The 20,228-nt window shown below is 46.8% G+C and overlaps 4 annotated features.

Annotated features, from left to right (window-relative positions):
* Positions 6,513-7,013: an enhancer, noted in NCBI's record as "H3K4me1 hESC enhancer chr17:27538979-27539479 (GRCh37/hg19 assembly coordinates)". NCBI's record gives its function as "activates a minimal SCP1, AML or CMV promoter by ChIP-STARR-seq in primed H9 embryonic stem cells {active_cell/tissue: H9 hESC(primed)}" and the evidence as "EXISTENCE:reporter gene assay evidence [ECO:0000049][PMID:30033119]".
* Positions 10,469-10,568: an enhancer, noted in NCBI's record as "active region_11968". NCBI's record gives its function as "activates an Ori minimal core promoter by ATAC-STARR-seq in GM12878 lymphoblastoid cells {active_cell/tissue: GM12878}" and the evidence as "EXISTENCE:reporter gene assay evidence [ECO:0000049][PMID:35858748]".
* Positions 10,629-10,678: an enhancer, noted in NCBI's record as "active region_11969". NCBI's record gives its function as "activates an Ori minimal core promoter by ATAC-STARR-seq in GM12878 lymphoblastoid cells {active_cell/tissue: GM12878}" and the evidence as "EXISTENCE:reporter gene assay evidence [ECO:0000049][PMID:35858748]".
* Positions 14,163-14,252: a silencer, noted in NCBI's record as "silent region_8369". NCBI's record gives its function as "represses an Ori minimal core promoter by ATAC-STARR-seq in GM12878 lymphoblastoid cells {active_cell/tissue: GM12878}" and the evidence as "EXISTENCE:reporter gene assay evidence [ECO:0000049][PMID:35858748]".

Below are 20,228 nucleotides of genomic sequence, written 5' to 3' on the forward strand. Positions count from 1 at the left end.
CCACCTGTTCTCATTCAAAGCTCCAGGCCTAAATTAGGTAGGTCAGAGAGAGAGAGGGACACCCAGTCAGCGTTCCTGAGCAAGCTGTCCGTGGAAGGGAAAGAAAGAAAATGCAAGCCTCCTCCATTCCTCACCCGTTCCTCACTTCAGGCAGCTCCTCCATTCTCCCTCTTTGCCCCTCCTTTCTCTGGCCTTTGGAGCCAGACAGACCTGGGTTCAAATCCTGGTTCTGTCACTTGCTAGTTGTGTGGCTTTGGGGCCAATTACTTAACTCCTCTGGGCCTGTTTTCCTGTCTGTGAAGTAGAGATTTTTAACATAGAATGACAAAGACATATTGACAATGAGAGATAATATATTACTAAAAACTCTGCCCAAAATTCATAGAGGCAGGAAGTAGAACAGAGGTTCCCAGGGGCTAGGAGAGGGGGAATGGGGAGTTATTATTTAATGGGTGCAGAGTTTGGGATGATGAGAAAGTGCTGGGCGTGGAGAGTGATAACAGCTGTGCCACACTGTGGAGATACTTAATGCCAATGAAGTGTACACCTAAAAATGGCTAGAATGGCAAATTTTTATTTTATTTATTTATTTATTTACTGAGACAGAGTCTCGCTCTGTTGCCCAGGCTGGAGTGCAGTGGTATGATCTCAGCTCACTGCAACCTCCGTCTCCTGGATTCAAGTGATTCTCCTGCCTCAGCCTCCCGAGTAGCTGGAATTACAGGCACGCACCACCATGCCTGGCTAGTTTTTGTATTTTTAGTAGAGACGGGGTTTCCCCATGTTGGCCAGGCTGGTCTCAAACTCCTGATCTCAGGTGATCCACCCATCTTGGCCTCCCAAAGTGTTGGGATTACAGGCATGAGACACCGCACCCGGCCAGAATGGTAAATTTTATATGTATATTTTACTACAAAAAATTATATAATTGGCCGGGCACAGTGGCTCATGACTATAATTCCAGCACTTTGGGAGGCCAAGGTGGGCAGATCACTTGAGGTTAGGAGTTCCAGACCAGCCTGACCAACGTGGTGAAACGTTGTCTCTACTAAAAATGCAAAAATTAGCCAGGCATGGTGGTGCACGCCTGTAGTCCCAGCTACCCGGGAGGCTGAGGCACAAGAATCACTTGAACCTGGGAGGCGGAGGTTGCAGTGAGCCAAGATCGTGCCATTGCACTCCAGCCTGGGCTACAGAGTGACTCTCTCTCAAAAAAAAACCAAAATGGCTGGGCGCGGTGCCTCACGCCTGTAATCCCAGCACTTTGGGAGGCCGAGGTGGGTGGATCACTTGAGGTCAGGAGTTCAAGACCAGACTGGCCAACATGGTGAAACCTCATCTCTACTAAAAATATAAAAATTAGCTGGGCATGGTGGTGCGTGCCTGTAATTCCAGCTACTTGTGAAGCTGAAGCATGAGAATCACTTGAACCCAGGAGGCGGAGGTTGCAGTGAGCCAAGATCACACCACTGCACTCCAGCCTGGGCAACAGAGCGAGACTCTGTCTCAAAAACAAAAAACAAAAAACAAAAAACCCAAAAAGCTTATATAACCAAATGGTGGGGGGTGGGCAGGACCTTCCTCAGTACCTGGCACCTGGTAGGGGTGCTCAGTGATAAATAGAAGCTATTATTATTGCTCTTAGCAGCTCCTCTCCTGCTGCCCCAAACCCCTTCTCTTCACTCTTCAGGAAGAAAATACTAGAAACCCCCAGTCTGAGTATTTAAACTCCTCACCACCACCATTTAGGAAGCAGAAGTTCCTGCAGGGCTGGAAGTTTATGTATGCCTCCTTGGTCAGGCAGCAGGCACCTGGGAGATGGAGGCACTTGGGAGATGGAGGCTTCTGGGCATTTTCTTTCCCTTTTTTTTTTTTTTTTTTTTTTGAGATAGGATCTCACTCTGTTGCCCAGGCTGGAGTGCAGTGGTGCGATCACAGCTCACTGCAGCCTCAACCTCCCTGGACTCAGGTGATTCACCCATCTCAACCTCCCAAGTAGCTGCGCCACCACACCCAGCTAATTTTTGTGTTTTTTGATGAAGAAGGGGTTTCACCATGTTGCCCAGGCTAGTCTGGAGCTCCTGGGATCAAGCAATCCGTTTGCCACAGTCTCCCAAAGTGCTGGGATTACAGGCATGAGCCACCACACCTGGCCTTCTTTTCTGGCCAAGCAAAGACATCCAGGAGGGGGTGGCAAAAGGAAACTACCTGCCCCCCATGGTTCAAATATTTATTAATCATCTGGTGAGCTCCCTGCTCATCCTTGTCAGCTCCTGTCTCCCTGGCCTGCCTCTCCACAGAGCAGAGGCTGGGGCTCATTCTCAAACCCCAAAAGCCAGAACTGAGCCCCTGCTTCTCTTGATTTGAGCCCTGGTGGGAGAAGGGTGAAAAAGAGAGAAATCAACAAGGCATAGAATAGCGAGGGGGAAATGCCAGTTAGCCCAAGAAGAGAGTGGGGATTGAGGAGCTTGTTTTCTATCTCTCTTGAAGTTAGAAGGGAAAAAAGTTATAAATAACAATAGGAGTGAATGAGTTAGAAGTTTCTGGTTGCCAGAGCTTTAAGGCAATGGAAGAGAATATAGTCTCCTAGGAGAACTTTGAAAATGGGGCAGGGATCTATCTTTATAGGCCAGGGTTTCCTAACTTCAGCTTTAACCTCAGCATATTCACATTTTGGACTAGATAATACTACAGTGTAGGAAACTGCCCTGGGCATTGTAGGAGGGTTAGCAGCATTCCTGGCCTCCAGCATTCCTGGTAGATGCTAGTAGCACCCCTGCTCCTGGCCACGACAACCAAAAATGCCTTTATTGTCAAATGTCTTCTGATGGACAACATTACCCCCACCCTTATTTGAGAACCACTGATATATGCTAAACAAAGTGTTTTTCTGCTTGGAAACCGGGGAGAAAAGAATTGACCTTTATATTCTAGGATGTGAAATGTAAAACTCAGCCAGGCACGGTGGCTCACGCCTGTAATCCCAGCACTTTGGGAGGCCAAGGCGGGGGGATCTCTTGAGGCCAGGAGTTCGAGACCAACCTGGCCATTATAGTGAAACCCCATCTCTACTAAAAATACAAAAATTAGCTGGGCATGGTGGTGGGCACCTGTAATCCCAGCTATTCAGCAGGCTGAGGCAGGAGAATCACTTGAACCTGGGAGATGGCGGTTGCAGTGAGCCGAGATGGCACCATTGCACTCCAGCCTGGGTGACAAAGCGAGACTCCATCTCAAAAAAAAAAAAAAGGAATGAGTTCATGTCCTTTGCAGGGACATGGATGAAGCTGGAAGCCATCATTCTCAGCAAACTAACACAGGAACAGAAAACCAAACACTGCATGTTCTCACTCATAAGAGGGAGTTGAACAATGAGAACACATGGACGCAGGGAAGGGAACATCACACACGGGGGCCTGTCGCAGGGTGGGGGGCAAGGGGAGGGAGAGCATTAGGACAAATACCTAATGCATGCGGGGCTTAAAACCTAGATGACGAGCTGGTAGGAGCTGTAAACCACCATGGCACATGTGTACCTATGTAACAAACCTGCACGTTCTGCACATGTATCCCAGAACTTAAACTAAAATTAAAAAAAAAAAAAAGAAAAAGAAAAAACAATACAACGTCAAACTCCACAAGGGGTAAACAACATGTTGTGACTGGCTGGAAGTCAGGGAGAATAAACATAGGCCCCATATCCTAGGAAATTGTGAAGCTCCAGTCAGCTGCGCAAAGTCACACAGCAAGGACCTTGCAGGGTCGGGAGTGGTGACTCCCCAGGTCCTCAGCAATGACAAGCCCTGTCATGCAAATCAGCTCCACTGTGGATGGATTCCGCTCCCCTTCTAAACTCAGATCTTCTGGGGTTGCGGCAGGTTGCTAAGCAAGCATTCTCTGGGCCTTCCTAAGAGCCACATGGAAAACAGAAGCCTTCAAGAAGAGCCAAGGTCTGGAAGGAAGTTTCCCAGCTTCAGATCTTAATGTATCCTTGCCCTCCCCAAAGCCCTAGAACACTGGGCCAGAGAATGGCACTGATGGTGCCATTAAGCTCCATTAACAAGTGCACATTAAGCTCCCCTAGTCCCAAATCAGTATTATGGATTTTTCCTTTTGCCTCAGGCTCCAGTGTGCCCTGGCATGATACTGTTACTGATTCTGTCTTTATTGAAAATATTTTGTTCAATATGGATTTTTTTTTGCATTAATTTGATTGCTAAAAAATATGGCATTGGCCAGGCACAGTGGGGTGCACCTATAGTCTCAGCTACTCGGGAGGCTGAGGTGGGAGGATTGTGTGAGCCTAGAAATTTGAATCCAGCCTGGGCAACATAGAAAGACCCCACCCCTAAAAATTTTTTTTAATATGGCATTAAAATATTGTTTATTTTGATTACTGAGTTGTTTGCATCCCATTGAGTACTATGACTGAAGTGAGTGCCTCACTCCCCTCACCCTAGTCCTGGCCCTGCTCAATGGGTCCCTAACAGGAGAGTTCATGAGGCATGTGTGAAGGCAGAGAGGGGCCCACAGGCTGCATTCTGCACACAAATAGGTTTTGTTTGGCTTGCACTATGTTTGCAAAAATGTCTTCACTTGTTGCCAATTTTCTTAAATCAAGAGAATCGCATAAAAACCCAGATTTCTGGGAAAGAAAATTGGATAATCTGACAACCCTACACATCATGGGCAATAGCTTTTGGGACCTGGTTAGTGGTTTCCCATTTAGGAAAGGGGGGTGCTGCCCAATTTCCCTTAGCCACACCCTGCCAACTCCTCCCATTTACAAGGCCCACCTTCTCTCCTGAGCACTGGTGAGCTGCAGCCAGCTTGCACCATCTCACAAGAGCTGATTGTCAACTTTTCAGAGTCGGTTAAGCACAGTCATTATAAAAAATTAAATTATATAAACTTACAATTAAATAAATTATCTTCAAAACAAAACTCATAACTTCCTAATTATTTTACTACACTTTCCTATTATCTATGTTCTTGAGATTATGAATGTCTATTACATCTGTGTGGCGGAAGTGCAATACTGTGGTGTGCTGCTGTAAATCTCCTCCCAACTCCATGCTCAGTGATGTCACATTGGTAGCATGAACTTGGCCATGGTAAGAGTATGGAAATCAGCAAAACTGCAAAACAGGGCTTGATCTATTGTTTCGTTGATTGTTGAGACTTAAAATATTGATGGAGGCCGGGCACGGTGGCTCACGTCTGTCATCCCAGCACTTTGGGAGGCTGAGGTGGGCAGATCACCTGAGGTCGGGAGCTCGAGATCAGCCTGACCAACAAGGAGAAACCCCAACTCTATTAAAAATATAAAATTAGCCGGGCATGGTGACACATGCCTATAATCCCAGCTACTCGGGAGGCTGAGGAAGGAGAATCACTTGAACCCAGGAGGCGGAGATTACGGTGAGCTGAGATGGCACCTTTGCACTCCAGCCTGGGCAACAAGAGCAAAACTCTGTCTCAAAAAAAAAAAAAAAAAAAACTGATGGAGAAATTGTTAATTATGTAGATTAAACTTAATAGTGTGTCTTGTCTGTAGCCATTACGTAATGAATAGCACAAGAATTCAAGGAAATATTCTTCCAGTGTTTGTAAACTACTATCTGATTCACCAAAGAGGTTGCTCACGTCATTGAATAAGGAATGAAATTCAGGACAAAAATTTTCATTGTTTCACTTTCATCTTCCTCCTCAACTTAAATGAGAGTATCAACCAACATTCCTGTCAAAACTACAGTTGTCTATCATTCATAACCTTAGGTTGGTTACTGGTACAAGTATTCCTCAAAAATCAATGAAAGCATTTTGAATGAATGGCTATATGGAATTTATAATAAGGATATATATAGTTATTCCATATATATAATTATATATAGTTTTTCCCATTTTATGGATGAGAAAACTGAATGTCAGAGCTGGGATTTCAATCTAGGTCTGCTGTCTCCAAAGCCTATGCCCTTTGTACTCTGCAGCCTCCAAAGGAGAGATGGTAGGACATGAAAGGCCTGTACATCTCATGATCCCAGAAGACAAAAAAAAAAAGAGAAAAACTTGAACCAAACCCATAGACAAAACCTGCTCCAGAGCCTCATTCTCCTCCCCATCAGCAAGATGCTCCTTCAGTCTATCTTAAATCCCTCTGAGTATGGTTCTGCCTTCTGGAAACCCCCAGAGCCAGGACCACCATTCTCTTACCTGAAAGGCAGTAGTTGTCTCTGAGAGCTGGAGGTCCAAATAAATCTGCTGCCTGCTTAGGGGTACTGCAAAGCAGGGAATGTGCAGAATGTGGGCTGTTTATCCCCAGGCCTTGGGGGCCCTGCAGGAGGAAAACTCAGAAAAAGCTGGGACAAAAGCTGGGAGACACAATGGGCATCCCTCGTGCTCAAAATCCTGCCCACTCGGCACAACAGAAGCCACGAGAATCCCCCCACTGCCAGCACTCAGGACCTAGCTGTGCCCATGGCCTGCCAGATTTGTTAAATTTGCTCCACAGGTGTGAACGCCCTGAGGGTCCTGTGTGGTCACCCGTGTGGAAGGGCAGATGAGGCCTGGCTTGGAAACCACCTGGCCCCCAAGAGATCTTGGTCTACACTGGCAGGAGTGAATCAGGAGCTGTGGCTTATCCCTCCCCAAAGCAGTTCTTTTTCCCATTTTGGTGGAAGGGGCAGCGAAGCTTGAGAATGAAGTTTAGGAGCACCTTCCCAAGAGAGGGCCACCTTCTCCAGAAAGCCTGCCCAGCTTCTCTGGCCTTCCTGACCTCTCTCAGCATTCAAGCCTGAAACCAAGGGCCTAGGGCTCTATGGCTTCCTGTGTGACTTTGGGCAACTCACTCTACATCTCTGGTCCTCATTTGTGTAGGAGAACCAACAAATATTGAGTGGCTTTCCAGTGCTAAACACATAAAAACTTTACATCCCTTTCCTTATTCAAATCCTCCTACCAACTCTATGAGATTGATATTAGGATCCCCTCATTGTAGCAGAGGAAACTGAGGAACAGAGAGGTTAGGTAACTTACCTTGGGTCACACAGCTGGAATTCAAACTCAGATCTGGGTTGACTCAAACTCCATGGCTTCACATCATAAATTATACAGTACTTGACACAAGTGTAGCAGGAATGACTCCACCCTCAACTGCAGGGTATAGGAAATAGGTATTAGCTTTTGTATAACTCAGTTTAATCCCAGTCAATTTTAGTTTCCCCCTCCTTCTGCACCAGGAAATTTTCGAAGTGTCCAAAGGCAGGGGTGGAAGCACTCTGCCTCTGTGTCATCTGCAGCTGATTAGTATCATTGTGTCATCCACTGTTCAGCTAGTCATTGGCTCACACATGGGTGTTTTTTGTTTTTTGTTTTAGAGACAATATCTCGCTCTGTCACCCAGGCTGGAGTGCAGTGCCATGATTGCAGCTCACTGTATCCTTGAACTCCTGGGCTAAAGCCATCCTCCCGTCTCAGTCTCCTGAGTAGTTGGGACTACAGATTTGTGCCACTACGCCTGGCTTCTGGTGGCTTTTTTTTTTACTACATTCATGCCAGCCTTGATGTTCCAGGATTCCAGGGAGGCAAGTTCCCATTTGCCCAGCCTCACAATGGGGCCATTCTCTTTCTGCTCGCCTAGGCTGTGGCCCCAAATACACAGTAGAGTTATTCTTGCTGGAACTCATGGCCACCTACATAGTCATCGCTTTTCCTCTGCCACCAGCCTGGAGGAAGCTTCTTTAGTTTCTAAAGGGAAGCCCACTCCCCTTAAACCTGCCCCACCCAGCTTTCACTTATGGTATTTCCTTCGACTATGTGGCCGATGTTCAGAAGCCTCTCCATTCCCCTAAAGGCTGGGTTTCTGGAGAACTAGGCCAGGAAGCAACTTTATTTCTGCAGCATCATCTTCTGAGGCAACGAGCACAGGACAGTCCAGCTCCTAGAAGAGGGGCCAGTGGTGGCCATGAAGTGTTAAAATGCCAGTAAGGGAAAAATGGGTAAGGTCCGCAAAACATCACATCAAGTTCGGGCGCAGTGGCTCACTCCTGTAATCCCAGCATTCTGTGGGGCCAAGGTGGAAGGATCACATGAGCTCAGGAATTCAAGGCCAACAAAATGAGACCTTGTTTCTACAAAAAGTAAAAAAAATAGCTAGGCATGGTGATGTGCTCCTGCGGTCCCGGCTACTCGGAAGGCTGAGGCGGGAGAATCACTTGAGCCCAGAAGGTTGAGGCTACAGTGAACCAAGATTACTCCACTGCACTCCAGCCTCACTCCAGAGTGAGACTCTGTCTCTAATAATAATAATAATCAATAACTATATCTGAACTTATTGTTATTATTATTTCTTCCAATTTCCTTTTTCTTAGAGCCAGAGATATTATAGCCTGGCAGGACTTAATAGCAATAATAATCATGGCTAATATGTGTTAAGTGCTTGTTATGGCCAGGCATTGTGATAAGCGCTTTACCTATATTATTTATTTTTATTTTTATTTTTATTTTTATTTTGTAGACGGAGTCTTGCTCTGTCACCCAGGCTGGAGTCCAGGGGCACAATCTCAGCTCACTGCAACCTCTGCCTGGAGGTTCAAGTGATTCTCCTGCCTCAGCCTCCTGAGTAGCCAGGATTACAGGCGCCCACCACCATGCGCAGCTAATTTTTGTATTTTTAGTAGAGACGGGGTCTCACCATGTTGGTCAGGCTGATCTCGAACTCCTGACCTCAGGTGATCTGCCCGCTCGGCCTCCCAAAGTGCTGGGATTACAGGTGTGAGCCACCATGCCCGGCCAATATTATTTCATTTAATGCTCATAAAAGTCCTACAAGGCACTTATGATCCTCATTTTAAGAGGAAGCTGATCCTCAGAGGGCAAAATCATCTTGCATGAGGTCATCCAATCACTGAGCCACACCATTCAGATGCACCACAAGACTCGGCAGTGTTCCTCAGGCTGCCCAGTCACCAGCATCGGGAACCGCTGTCCATGAGCAAGTAGATGGGACGGGTGCCTCCCTGGATGAGGATGTGATGAAATGCTGGCGTGAACTGGTTTTGCCATGCAGAAGCAGGAAGATGGCTAGGAAAGACTTAATGTCTTACCTAGCCATCTTCCTTCCAAGGATCAAAAGGTCCAACTGTAGGTCCTTCAGCCAGGTTGGCCCACCTGTCAATGGCTTCCCAGCCCACACTCAGAAGCGTTGCCCAGGGTTCTAGGCTGGGGCCACCTCCTGCCTGTCTTCCCTCTTTTCTGGAAGATGCTAGGAAAGTACTGCCCTAATCCAGGGTCCCCTCATTCACCCAGAAGTGACTGTGGGTACAAGGAAGTGGGTGGCACCACCAACAGGTGGAACAGGTGCCAGGAGTATAGTCCTGGGAGGTGACAGGGCAGGCCTGGGACCAGAAGCTGCAAATTCCTAGTCCATCTACTGCCTGGATGCTCCTGAGCTGATATTAAAGGCCCGGGGCACTATCACTTCCTGTGTGACTTTGGGCAGCTCACTCTACCTCTCTGGTCTTCATTTGTGTAACAGAACCAACAAATATTGAATGACTTTCCAGTGCTAAACACATATAAACTTTACATTACACACACACACATGCTGTGACAGAGTTAACCTTCCTCTAATATGAGATTCCTCTTCTTCTATAGTAATTGGACTTTTATTTATACCTAGGCAATGTCTGCCCAGAATAAAGACTTTATTTTTTCCAGCCTTCTTTTCAGCTAGGTATGGCCATGCGACTACTCCCTGGTCAACAAGGATAAACGTTGTGTTGGTAAGTGCATCTTCCGGGCAAGGCTCAGCTGGATAATTTTTTTACTCCTTGTGCCATTGACTGAGGTCACTTGGTGGAGTTTAGCTGGTACACGGGTTGGCTCGGAGGGTCCATGACGGCTTCACTCATGTCTGGCATGCTGGCAGGGGCAGCTGGAAGGCTCAGCCAGAACTGCGAATTGGAACATCCACATGTGGCCTCTCCAGCTCTCGGGAGAGTTGGACTTTCTTACATGGCAGCCCAGGCTTCGGGAGCAAGTATTTCAGCGATCAAAGTAGATGCTCTATGGCCTGTTACAACTGAGCCTCAGAAGGTACTTGCCATCACTTCTGCCTATGCTAATAGACCTACTGTTTGGGTCAAGGCAGTCACAAGTCCACCAACATTTAAGGAGAAGGGACAGAGAACACTTAGAAACTTTACACACACACACACACACACACACACACACACACACACACACACGCTGTGACATAGACTACTAACCTTCCCCTAATATGAGATTCTTTTTCTCCTATAGTAATTGAACCTTTTATTTATAGCTCAGTGAGGCTGAGTCTCTCACTGACCAACTGCTCAATGAGAGAAGTGTCAAAGAATTTGCAACCTGCTGGGTGCAGTTGCTCATGCTTGTAGTCCTAGCACTTTGGAAGGTCAAGGTGGGAGGACCACTTGAGGCCAGGAAGTCAAGACCAGCCTGCGCAACAGGGCAAGACCCCATCTCTGCCAAAAATAAGAAAAATTAGTCATGTGTGGTGACGCAAACCTGTAGTCGCAGGTTCTCACGGGCTGAGGCCAGGAGGGTGGCTTGAGTCCAGGAGTTGGAGGCTGCAGTGAGCTGTGATTATGCCACTGCACTCCAGCCTGGGTGACAGAGCAAGACCCTGTCTCAAAAAAAGAAACACACACACACAAGACACCACAGCAATCCTGGACCACTTGGGTCTGGACCTTAAGTCAGAGAAAAATAAACTTCCATTTTGTTAAAGCCACCACTCCCTTGGTTGTCTGTCACTCACGGCCAAATGCAATCCCAACAGAAACACACATATGCACAGACAAGCACATGCATACACACATACTCTCAATGACAGTGCACGCGGCCCACAAGACACAAGGAGAGACGTAAATGTTGAAATCTCACTAGGTTAGGAGTATTCATCTACTCACATGAACTCATACCACACACCAGTTTCAGGAGCTGTCCTTCCCCGAGGTTCACATCTCACTCCGCACTTCCCCTGCCACAACCCTCACTGTGGTATATTATAATTAGAATATACTTGTCCATATCACCCTTCCCCTGGTCAACCCTTGGACCCCATCTGTCTTGTTCATCATCATTCATTTAGCACCAAGCACAGGACTTCAATCGACATTTGACCAGGTTTGTATTTTACAAACAGCCTGCAGGTGACACTTTGAGCTGCTGGGGACTAGAGTCTGAGTGTAATGAGACTGATGAGGAGCCTGCCTGGATGTGAGGAGACCCTGAACTGGAGCCTCAGTACTGGAGACGGGGATGAAATGGAGAGAGCAGGAGGTGGGATTGACAGGCATTGGGAGTGATTGGGGGGCGAGGGAGAAGTAGGAGTCAAGGAGCGCACCCAGATTTCTAATCTGGACGATGCAATAACAAATGGTGGCACTCTTTGCTGACAGCAGAAACAAGGGGGGAGCAGAAGACTCAGGAGAAGGTAACAAGCTCAGTTTTGCCTATCTGTATTTCAAATGCCTGGGGGGCCATCCAGGTGGACTCATGCAGGAGGCAGCTAGACGGTTGGATGGAACAAAAGACTAGTGAAGACATGACCACGCTTTCTGAAACATTCCCATGCAAGTCATTCATTGTCCAGACAAAGTGTTGGAGGAAGCGGGGTGCAGGGCAGGGCCCTGGGTTGGAAGTTGACAGACCCACATTCCCTTCGCCACTACTACCTGATGTGTCATCTTGATGGGCAAGGGACACTGCCTTCTGGCTTGTACTTTTCTACTTAGTTGTAAAAATGAGAAGCCTGCCTCAAACCTCTGTGTTTCCTTCTAGCTCTCAGATGCTATGGCTAAATATTTGAAATATTTGCAGGCCTACCCTCTGCAGGCTACTGGGCTGGGCCCTGACCCCATTTCCACTTCTCTCAAACAACAACAACAACAACAACAACAACGACAACAACCACCAAAAAGCAGGTCAACTGCAGGAGGAAACTGGGAGGTGAAACACACTGTAAGCTCCTCTGCTCCAAACTGCTCTTCTTTTTCCCCATTCCCTGCACCAAGGTCTCTGTCCACCCAATACACCAGAATGCCCTCCTTAGGTCTCCAGGCCCCTCCAGCTACTCCCAACAACTATTTCCCAAAAGACCAACTAGGAATAAAAATTATCCCCATTCCTCCCCTTTGTGTCACACTTTACATTTCTACTTTCTCCAGTATAAATGATATTTACTGCACGGGAACCATATGGTAGGCACCATGCCAGGCTCTGGGATGAAGACCACACAGACCCTACCCTCAAAAAAGCAGGGAAGAGAGTTAGCAATGTAATTCGAGGTGAATGAACCACACAGGGGCTGTAGGAACATAGATGAAGGGAAGTGGTGTGTGTGTGTGTCTGTGTGTGTGTGTGTGTTCAGGAGGATCCTCAAACCCTGTGAAGTTTTGGGTTTTTTGTTTGTTGGCATGTTTGTTTAAGATAGAGTCTTGCTTTGTTGGCCAGCCTGGAGTGCAGTGGCTTGATCTCAGCTCACCGCAACCTCCACCTCCCGGGTTCGAGCAATTCTCGTGCCTCAGCCTCCCAAGTAGCTGGGATTACAGGCATGCACCACCACGCCTAGCTAATTTTTGTATTTTTAGTGGAGACAGCGTTTCACCTTGTTGGCCAGGCTGGTCACGAACTCCTGACCTCAAGTGAGCCACCCACCTCAGCCTCCCAAAAGTGCTGGGATTATAGGCATGAGCCACCATGCTCAGCCATTTGTTTGTTTTCTGATACAGGGTCTTGCTCTGTTGCCCAGGTGGGAGTGCAGTGGTGCAATCATGGCTCACTGCAACCTCGACTTCCCAAGCTCAAGCGATCCTCCCGCCTTAGCCTCCCTCGTAGCTGGAACCACAGATGTCCGCCACCATGCCCACCTAATTTTTTACATTTTTTGTAGGGACAGGATCTTGCTGTGTTGCCCAGGTTGGTCTCAAACTCCTGAGCTCAAGCAATCTTCCCAACTTTGCCTCCTACAAGTGCTGGGGATTACAGGTGTGAGCCACTGCACCTGGCCCCTGTGAAGTTTTTATAAAACATTAGCACTGGAAGGGATCTCACAGACCAATTAGTCCCACTCCCTCATTTTACATGTGCAGAAACTGAGGCCCAGGCTGGCCACGCATGGTGGCTTACACCTGTAATCCCAACACTTTGGGAGGCTGAGGCAGGAGGATCATTTGAGCCCAGCGGTTCAAGACCAGCCTGGACAGCATAACAAGAACCCCCATCTCTACAAAAAAAATTAAAAATTAGGCCAGGTGCGGTGGCTCACGCTTGTAATCCCAGCACTTTGGGAGGCCGAAGCGGGCAGATCATGAGGTCAGGAGATCGAGACCATCCTGGCTAACATGGTGAAACCCCGTCTCTACTAAAAATACAAAAAATTAGCCGGGCATGGTGGCAGGTGCCTGTAGTACCAGCTACTCGGGAGGCTGAGGCAGGAGAATGGCGTGAACCCGGGAGGCAGAGCTTGCAGTGAGCCGAGATCGTGCCACTGCACTCCAGCCTGGGTGACAGAGCAAGACTCCGTCCCAAATAATAATAATAATAATAATAATAATAATAATAATAATAATATCTTAAGAGGTATAAGAGCTAATATGCTTCCTTCCGGGCTTCATTCTAAGCTCTCTAGATGGATTGATTCGTTTATTACTCACAACATACCTGAGAGTTAGGTTTTTATGTTCCCCTAATATGACAATATTGAGTCTTAGGTTAATTGACTTGCCTGAGGTCACACAGTTAACACAATACTGAATACAGGTAGTCCAAATAAAGAGCCATGAGCGTGGGGGGGAATTGCCTGGAGGCCTTAACATATGATTTCTATACCCTACCCTCAGAAAGTCTGATTCTCTCGGCCTGAAGTGAACAAGCTGGAATTTGCATTTTAGCCATGCACCCTAGGTGATTATGGTTTGGTGGCTATCGGACCACTCTCTGAAAAAACCCAGTTCGAATGTACCTTTTTTCTCAATTCAGAGTTTTCTGGCACAATCCCTCCCTTCCTTGGGACTCCCTGTCCTCAAGGGACCCCGCTTTCCGGAGTCTGCTGGGAATAAGGGTACTCTGGAAACGGACGTATGCCCCCTGGTGGTCAGAAATTAGAGGCTAGGCGCTACAGCCAGCAGGGTCCCGTCAACCGCACAAATTTGTGAACTTTTCTAGAATTTCGTTCAGCCAGTATTACTGAGGTGCCACTATGGGCCAGCACTGAGCCATTGTAATACACAGCACATTGGAGAGAAAGAAGACTTCTGGGGACAGAATTTTTCAAGGTGACTGCTCACCTATTTTCATCCGTGGATACAAAGGCATCAGTTTCAAGCTGCAATTGGACAAATTTCACCTGGTCTAAGTATTCGTATCTGGCAACATATAGCTCTGATCTTAGGTCTTTAGGAGGCTGAAAAAGAGTTTTTTGAAAAAGGCTGAGTCCACCCTCGGGAAGGAAACACAGGAGCATGTATATTTGCAGGGCTCCAAGGCTTTGTAGTCAGGCTGTTCCAGCTCTGTTACTTCAGGCTCTGGGACCCGGGAGCAGTTATTTCATCTTTCTAAGCTGCAGCTGCTTCACCTGAACTATGTGAATAATAACAACACCTGTCTCAAAGGTTTGTGTGATGAAATGGTCTCTTAGTGCCTGGCACAAGATAAACGTTCAAAAAAGTTGTAGGTATTTTGAAATATAATACTTTGTAGTTATATACCATAAAGTATACACTATATATACCAGGGTTCTAACACCAGCCTTAATTCATTCACCTTAAAAAGGAACACAAATGGGCCGGGCGCGGTGGCTCACGCCTGTAATCCCAGCACTTTGGGAGGCCGAGGCGGGTGGATCAACTGAGGTTGGGAGTTCAAGACCAGCCTGGCCAACATGGCGAGACCCTGTCTCTACTAAAAATACAAAAATTAGCCGGGCGTGGTGGTGCGCGCCTACAATCCCAGCTACTCGGGAGGCTGAGGCAGGAGAATCGCTTGAACCCGGGAGGTGGACATTGCGGTGAGCCGAGATCGCGCCACTGCGCTCCAGCCTGTGCAACAAGAGCAAAACTCCGTCTCAAAAAAAAAAAAAAAAGGAACACGAATAATTCTTGAGGCCAGGCACAGTAGCTCACTCCTGTAATCCCAGCACTTTGGGAAGCCAAGGTGGGAGAATCACTTGAGGCCAGGAGTTGGAGACTAGCCCAGACAACATAGTGAGACCCCTGTCTCTCCAAATAAAAAAAAAATTAGCCAGACATGGTGTCATGAACCGGTAGTCCCAGCTATACAGGAAGCTGTCGCAGGAGGATCACTTGAGCCCTGTAGTTGGAGGCAGCAGTGAGCCACTCCTGCCTGGGTGACAGACCAAGACCCCATCTAAAAAAAAGAAAAAACTCTTGATCCACTGTAGTTGAGAGACAAGATTTCCTCCAGTTTTGAATCCTCTAATATGTGATGCATAGACATCTAAACTATTCCACACTGTTGGTGGGATTGCAAGCTAGTACAACTTTGAAAAATTGTTTGATAGTGTCTGCTAAAACTGAACATATTTATGGCCCAGCAATTTATTCTTAGGTATATTCCCAAAAGAAATGTTTACATATGTTACCCAGAAAACATAAACAAGCATGTTTATAGCAATACTATTTATAACAGCCTCCAAGTGGGGAAATATCTAAGTGTCTATCAACACTACAATAAGTTTTTGTGTGTGTTTGTTTGTTTGTTTTGTTGAGATGAAGTTTCGCTCTTGTTTCCCAGGCTGGAGTACAAAGGCAAAATCTCGGCTCACTGCAACCTCCGCCTCCCGGGTTCAAGCAATTGTCCTGCCTCAGCCTCCTGAGTAGCTGGGATTACAGGTGCCCGCCACTACGCCTGGCTAACTTTTGTATTTTAGTAGAGACGGAGTTTCACCATGTTGGCCAGGCTGGTCTTGAACTCCTGACCTCAAGTAATCGGTCCGCCTTGGCCTCCCAAAGTGCCGGGATTACAGGCATGAGATATGGCGCCCGGCCTAGATGTTTATTTTTTATTTTATTTTTATTTTATTTTATTTTATTTTATTTTATTTTATTTTATTTTATTTGAGACAGAGTTTCACTCTTGTCGCTCAGGCTGCAGTGTAATGGCAGTCTCGGCTTACTGCAACCTCCACCTCCCAAGTTCATGCAATTCTCCTGACTCAGCCTTCTGAGTAGGTGGGATTACAGGCGCACACCACCCTGCCCAGCTAATTTTTATATTTTAGTAGACACGGGATTTTACCATGTTGGCCAGGCTGGTCTTGAACTCCTGAATTCAAGTGATCCGCCTGCCTCGGCCTCTCAAAGTGCTGGGATTACAGGCGTGAGCCACCACGCCCGGCTCCAGCTACATTTTTAAATTGTGGTATTTTCATAGACTAGAACACTACATGCAGTAACATGAGTAAATTTCACAAATATAATGACAAAAGAAGCCAGACACTGAAGAGTCCATACCGTATGATTTCATTTATATAAAGTACCAAATGGTTGAAATGAAATGCCATTAGAAACTGGAATACTAATTGCCTTTAGGTGCAGAGTGGTGATTAGAGGGGGGCTAAAGGGGTTTCAGGGAGGGGATTGCCAATAATGTTCTATATCATGATCTGTGTGGCAGTTATACAAAGTGTCTGGACTTTATAAAAACTAATCAGACTGATTGCTTATGATTTGTGCACTTTTCTATAGTATGGATTCATAGATTTCAATGAAAAGTTAGATTTTAATTAAAAGTTTACCTAAAAACTCTCCGTGAGTCCCTCATGACCAATCACAGAACACACCCAGGCCTCACTTATCATAAGCCCAGAGTCCCCCAGGGTATCAGAATCAGAAATTTAATGCCCTCTGGGGATGGGAGATGTGGCCTCAGGCCCATGAGCTGCAACCAGGTTTCCTGCTAAAAGTCAAGAACAAAAGAGTTGTCTTGTAGATAAAAACAGGTTCCAGAAAAACTGCACCAGAGCAAAGAGCTAGGTGTCTGCCTAGAGCCTGTGGGTGAAAAAATCACCCCTCCAACACTGTGTCAATCAGAGGGGTGGCACCTGAGTACACACCAGACTTGCTGTTTGAGAAACCCAGGGCAAGAAATTAGTAAAAATCACCCACAGGCAGTGAAACTGCATAAAATACTTGCATAGAGAAATACAAAATAGCCTCACAGGAGTTCGTCCAAAACCTAGAGAATGAGAAAGACCCTGCTCCCTGAGGAAATGAATGAAGAAACAAATGCCATCATAAACAGATGGCAGATGCAAGGAATCAGAAAATGTGTGCACCAGAAATCACAGATAAAAGGACAGTTTGAAAAAAATGTTTCAATTCATGAAACACAAATGCTAATTTAAAAGAAATGTGTTTCAGACTGGGTGCAGTGGCTCACACCTGTAATCCCAATATTTTGGAAGGCTGAGGTAGCAGGATTGCGTGAGGACAGGAGTTTTAGACCAGTCTGGGCAACAAAGTGAGAGCCTATCTCTATTTCAAAAAGAAAAAAAAAACTTTTTTGTTTTTTGAGACGGAGTCTTGCTCTGTCACCAGGCCAGAGTGCAGTGGTGTGATCCCAGCTCACTGCAACCCCCACCTCCTAGGTTCAAGTGATTCTCCTGCCTCAGCCTCCCAAGTAGCTGGGATTACAGGCATCCACCACCACACCCAGCTAACTTTTATATTTTTAGTAGAAACGGGGTTTCACCATGTTGGCCAGGATGGTCTCGATCTCTTGACCTTGTGATCCACCCGCCTCAGCCTCCCAAAGTGCTGGGATTACAGGCGTAAGCCACCACACTTGGCCCTTTTTTTTTTTTTTTTTTTGATACGGCATCTTGCTGTCATCCAGACTGGAGTGTAGTGGCACCATCTTGACTCACTGCAACCTCTGCCTCCCGGGTTCATGCCTTCTCCTGCCTCAGCCTCCCGAGTAGCTGGGACTACAGGCGCCTGCCACCACACCCGGCTAATTTTTGTGTTTTTAGTAGATACGGGGTTTCACCATGTTGGTGAACAGGCTGATCTCGAACCCCTGACCTCAAGTAATCTGCCCGCCTTGGCCTCCCAAAGTGTGAGGATTACAGGTGTGAGTCAACATGCCAGGCCAAAAAGAAAAAAAAAAATTAGATAAAAGTTTTGTTAAAAAAACAAACAAAAAAAACCTGGGCTGGGTGTGGTGGCTCACGCCTGTAATCCTAGCACTTTGGGAGGCTGAGGTGGGTAGATCACCTGAGGTCAGGAGTTCGAGACCAGCCTGACTAACATGGTGAAACCTTGTCTCTACTAAAAATAGAAAAATTAGGCAAGAGTGGTGGCACATGCCTGTAATCCCAGCTACCCGGGAGGCTGAGGCTGCAGTGAGCCAAGATCGCATCACTGCACTCTAGCTTGGGCAACAGAGTGAGATTCTGTCTCAAAAAAAAAAAAAAAAAAAAAAAAGGAAAAAACCTAAATGTCTATACGATTTATATTTCTAAAATTTTAGTTCTTTTTCAAACCCACCTTTCCTCCCATAATATCTCAGTCTCACTGTATTTTCTTTCTTCTTTCTTCTTTTTTTTTTTTGAGACGGAGTCTCGCTCTTTCGCCCAGGCCGGACTGCAGTGGCGCTATCTCGGATCGCTGCAAACTCCACCTCCCGGGTTCACGCCATTCTCCTGCCTCAGCCTCCCGAGTAGCTGGGACTACAGGCACCCGCCACCGCGCCCGGCTAATTTTCTGTATTTTTAGAAGAGACGGGGTTTCACCGTGTTAGCCAGGATGGTCTCGATCTCCTGACCTCGTGATCCGCCCACCTTGGCCTCCCAAAGTGCTGAGATTACAGGCGTGAGTCACTGCACCCGGCCTCTCATCGTATTTTCAAACCCACCTTTTCCCTCATAATATCTCACTCTCATCATATACATTCTACTTCTTCCTTTAAATATTTGAACATTTTAAACATATTTCTTTTATATTTTATTTTATTTTAAGAGACGGGGTTGCCAGGCGTGGTGGATCACGTCTGTAATCCTGGCACTTTGGGAGACCGAGGGGGGCAAATTGCTTGAGCCCAGGAGTTCAAGACCAGCTTGGGCAACATGGTGAAACCCCATCTCTACAAAACATACAAAAATGTGGCCGGGCGTGGTGGCTCACGCCTGTAATCCCAGCACTTTGGGAGGCCGAGGCGGGCGGATCACGAGGTCAGGAGATCGAGACCATCCTGGCTAACACGGTGAAACCCCATCTCTAGTAAAAATACAAAAAATTAGCTGGGCGTGGTGGCGGGCACCTGTAGTCCCAGCTACTCGGGAGGCTGAGGCAAGAGAATGGCGTGAACCTGGGAGGCGGAGCTTGCAGTGAGCCGAGATCGCGCCACTGCACTCCAGCCTGGGCGACAGAGCGAGACTCCGTCTCAAAAAAAAAAAAAAAAAAAAAACATACAAAAATGAGCTCGGCGTGGGTGCACACCTGTGGTCCCAGCTACTTGGGAGGCTGAGGTGGGAGGATCTCTTGAGCTTGGGAGGTCGAGGTTGCAGTAACCAGAAGTTGTGCCACTGCACTGCAGTCCCAGCAACAGAGCGAGACCCTGTCTCAAGAAAAAAAAAAAAAAAAAAAAGGGTCTCGTTCTGTTGCCTGGTTGGAGTGCAGTGGTGTGATCATGGCTCACTGCACCCTTGTACTACCAAGCTCAAGAGATCCTCCCACCTCAGCCTCCTGAGTAGCTGAGATTACATGTGTGCATTACTACATCCAGCTAAACAAAACTTAGTAAACAGTTAACTAGATCCTGCTATACAGTGAATTAATGAATTAGAACAAACATGAGGAAATCATTCAGGAAGTGGTAAAGAGATAGAAAATAAGAAAGACAGAATGAAAGACATGGTGTATAGCATGAGAAGCTCCAAAACAGGAATTCAGAAGGAGAAAAATCACAACAGTGGAGGGAAGGCAGCAGACAAAGAGGTAATGGGGGAAGTTTCCTGAACTGAAGAAAGACAGGAGTTTGCCAGCTGAAGAAGCAGAAGTCCTGAGTAGGATAAATAAAAGCAAGTCTATATCTAACACATTCCTGTGGGATTGCAGAACATCAAGGGAGATAGAAAATCTTAAAGGCTACTAAAGAGAACAGATACCTACATCAGAACAAGAAACAGACTGATAGGGGATTTCATGTCATTGCAGGAGTTT

This window comes from Homo sapiens, chromosome 17 (assembly GCF_000001405.40).
Source record: "Homo sapiens chromosome 17, GRCh38.p14 Primary Assembly".
Lineage (NCBI taxonomy): Eukaryota > Metazoa > Chordata > Mammalia > Primates > Hominidae > Homo > Homo sapiens.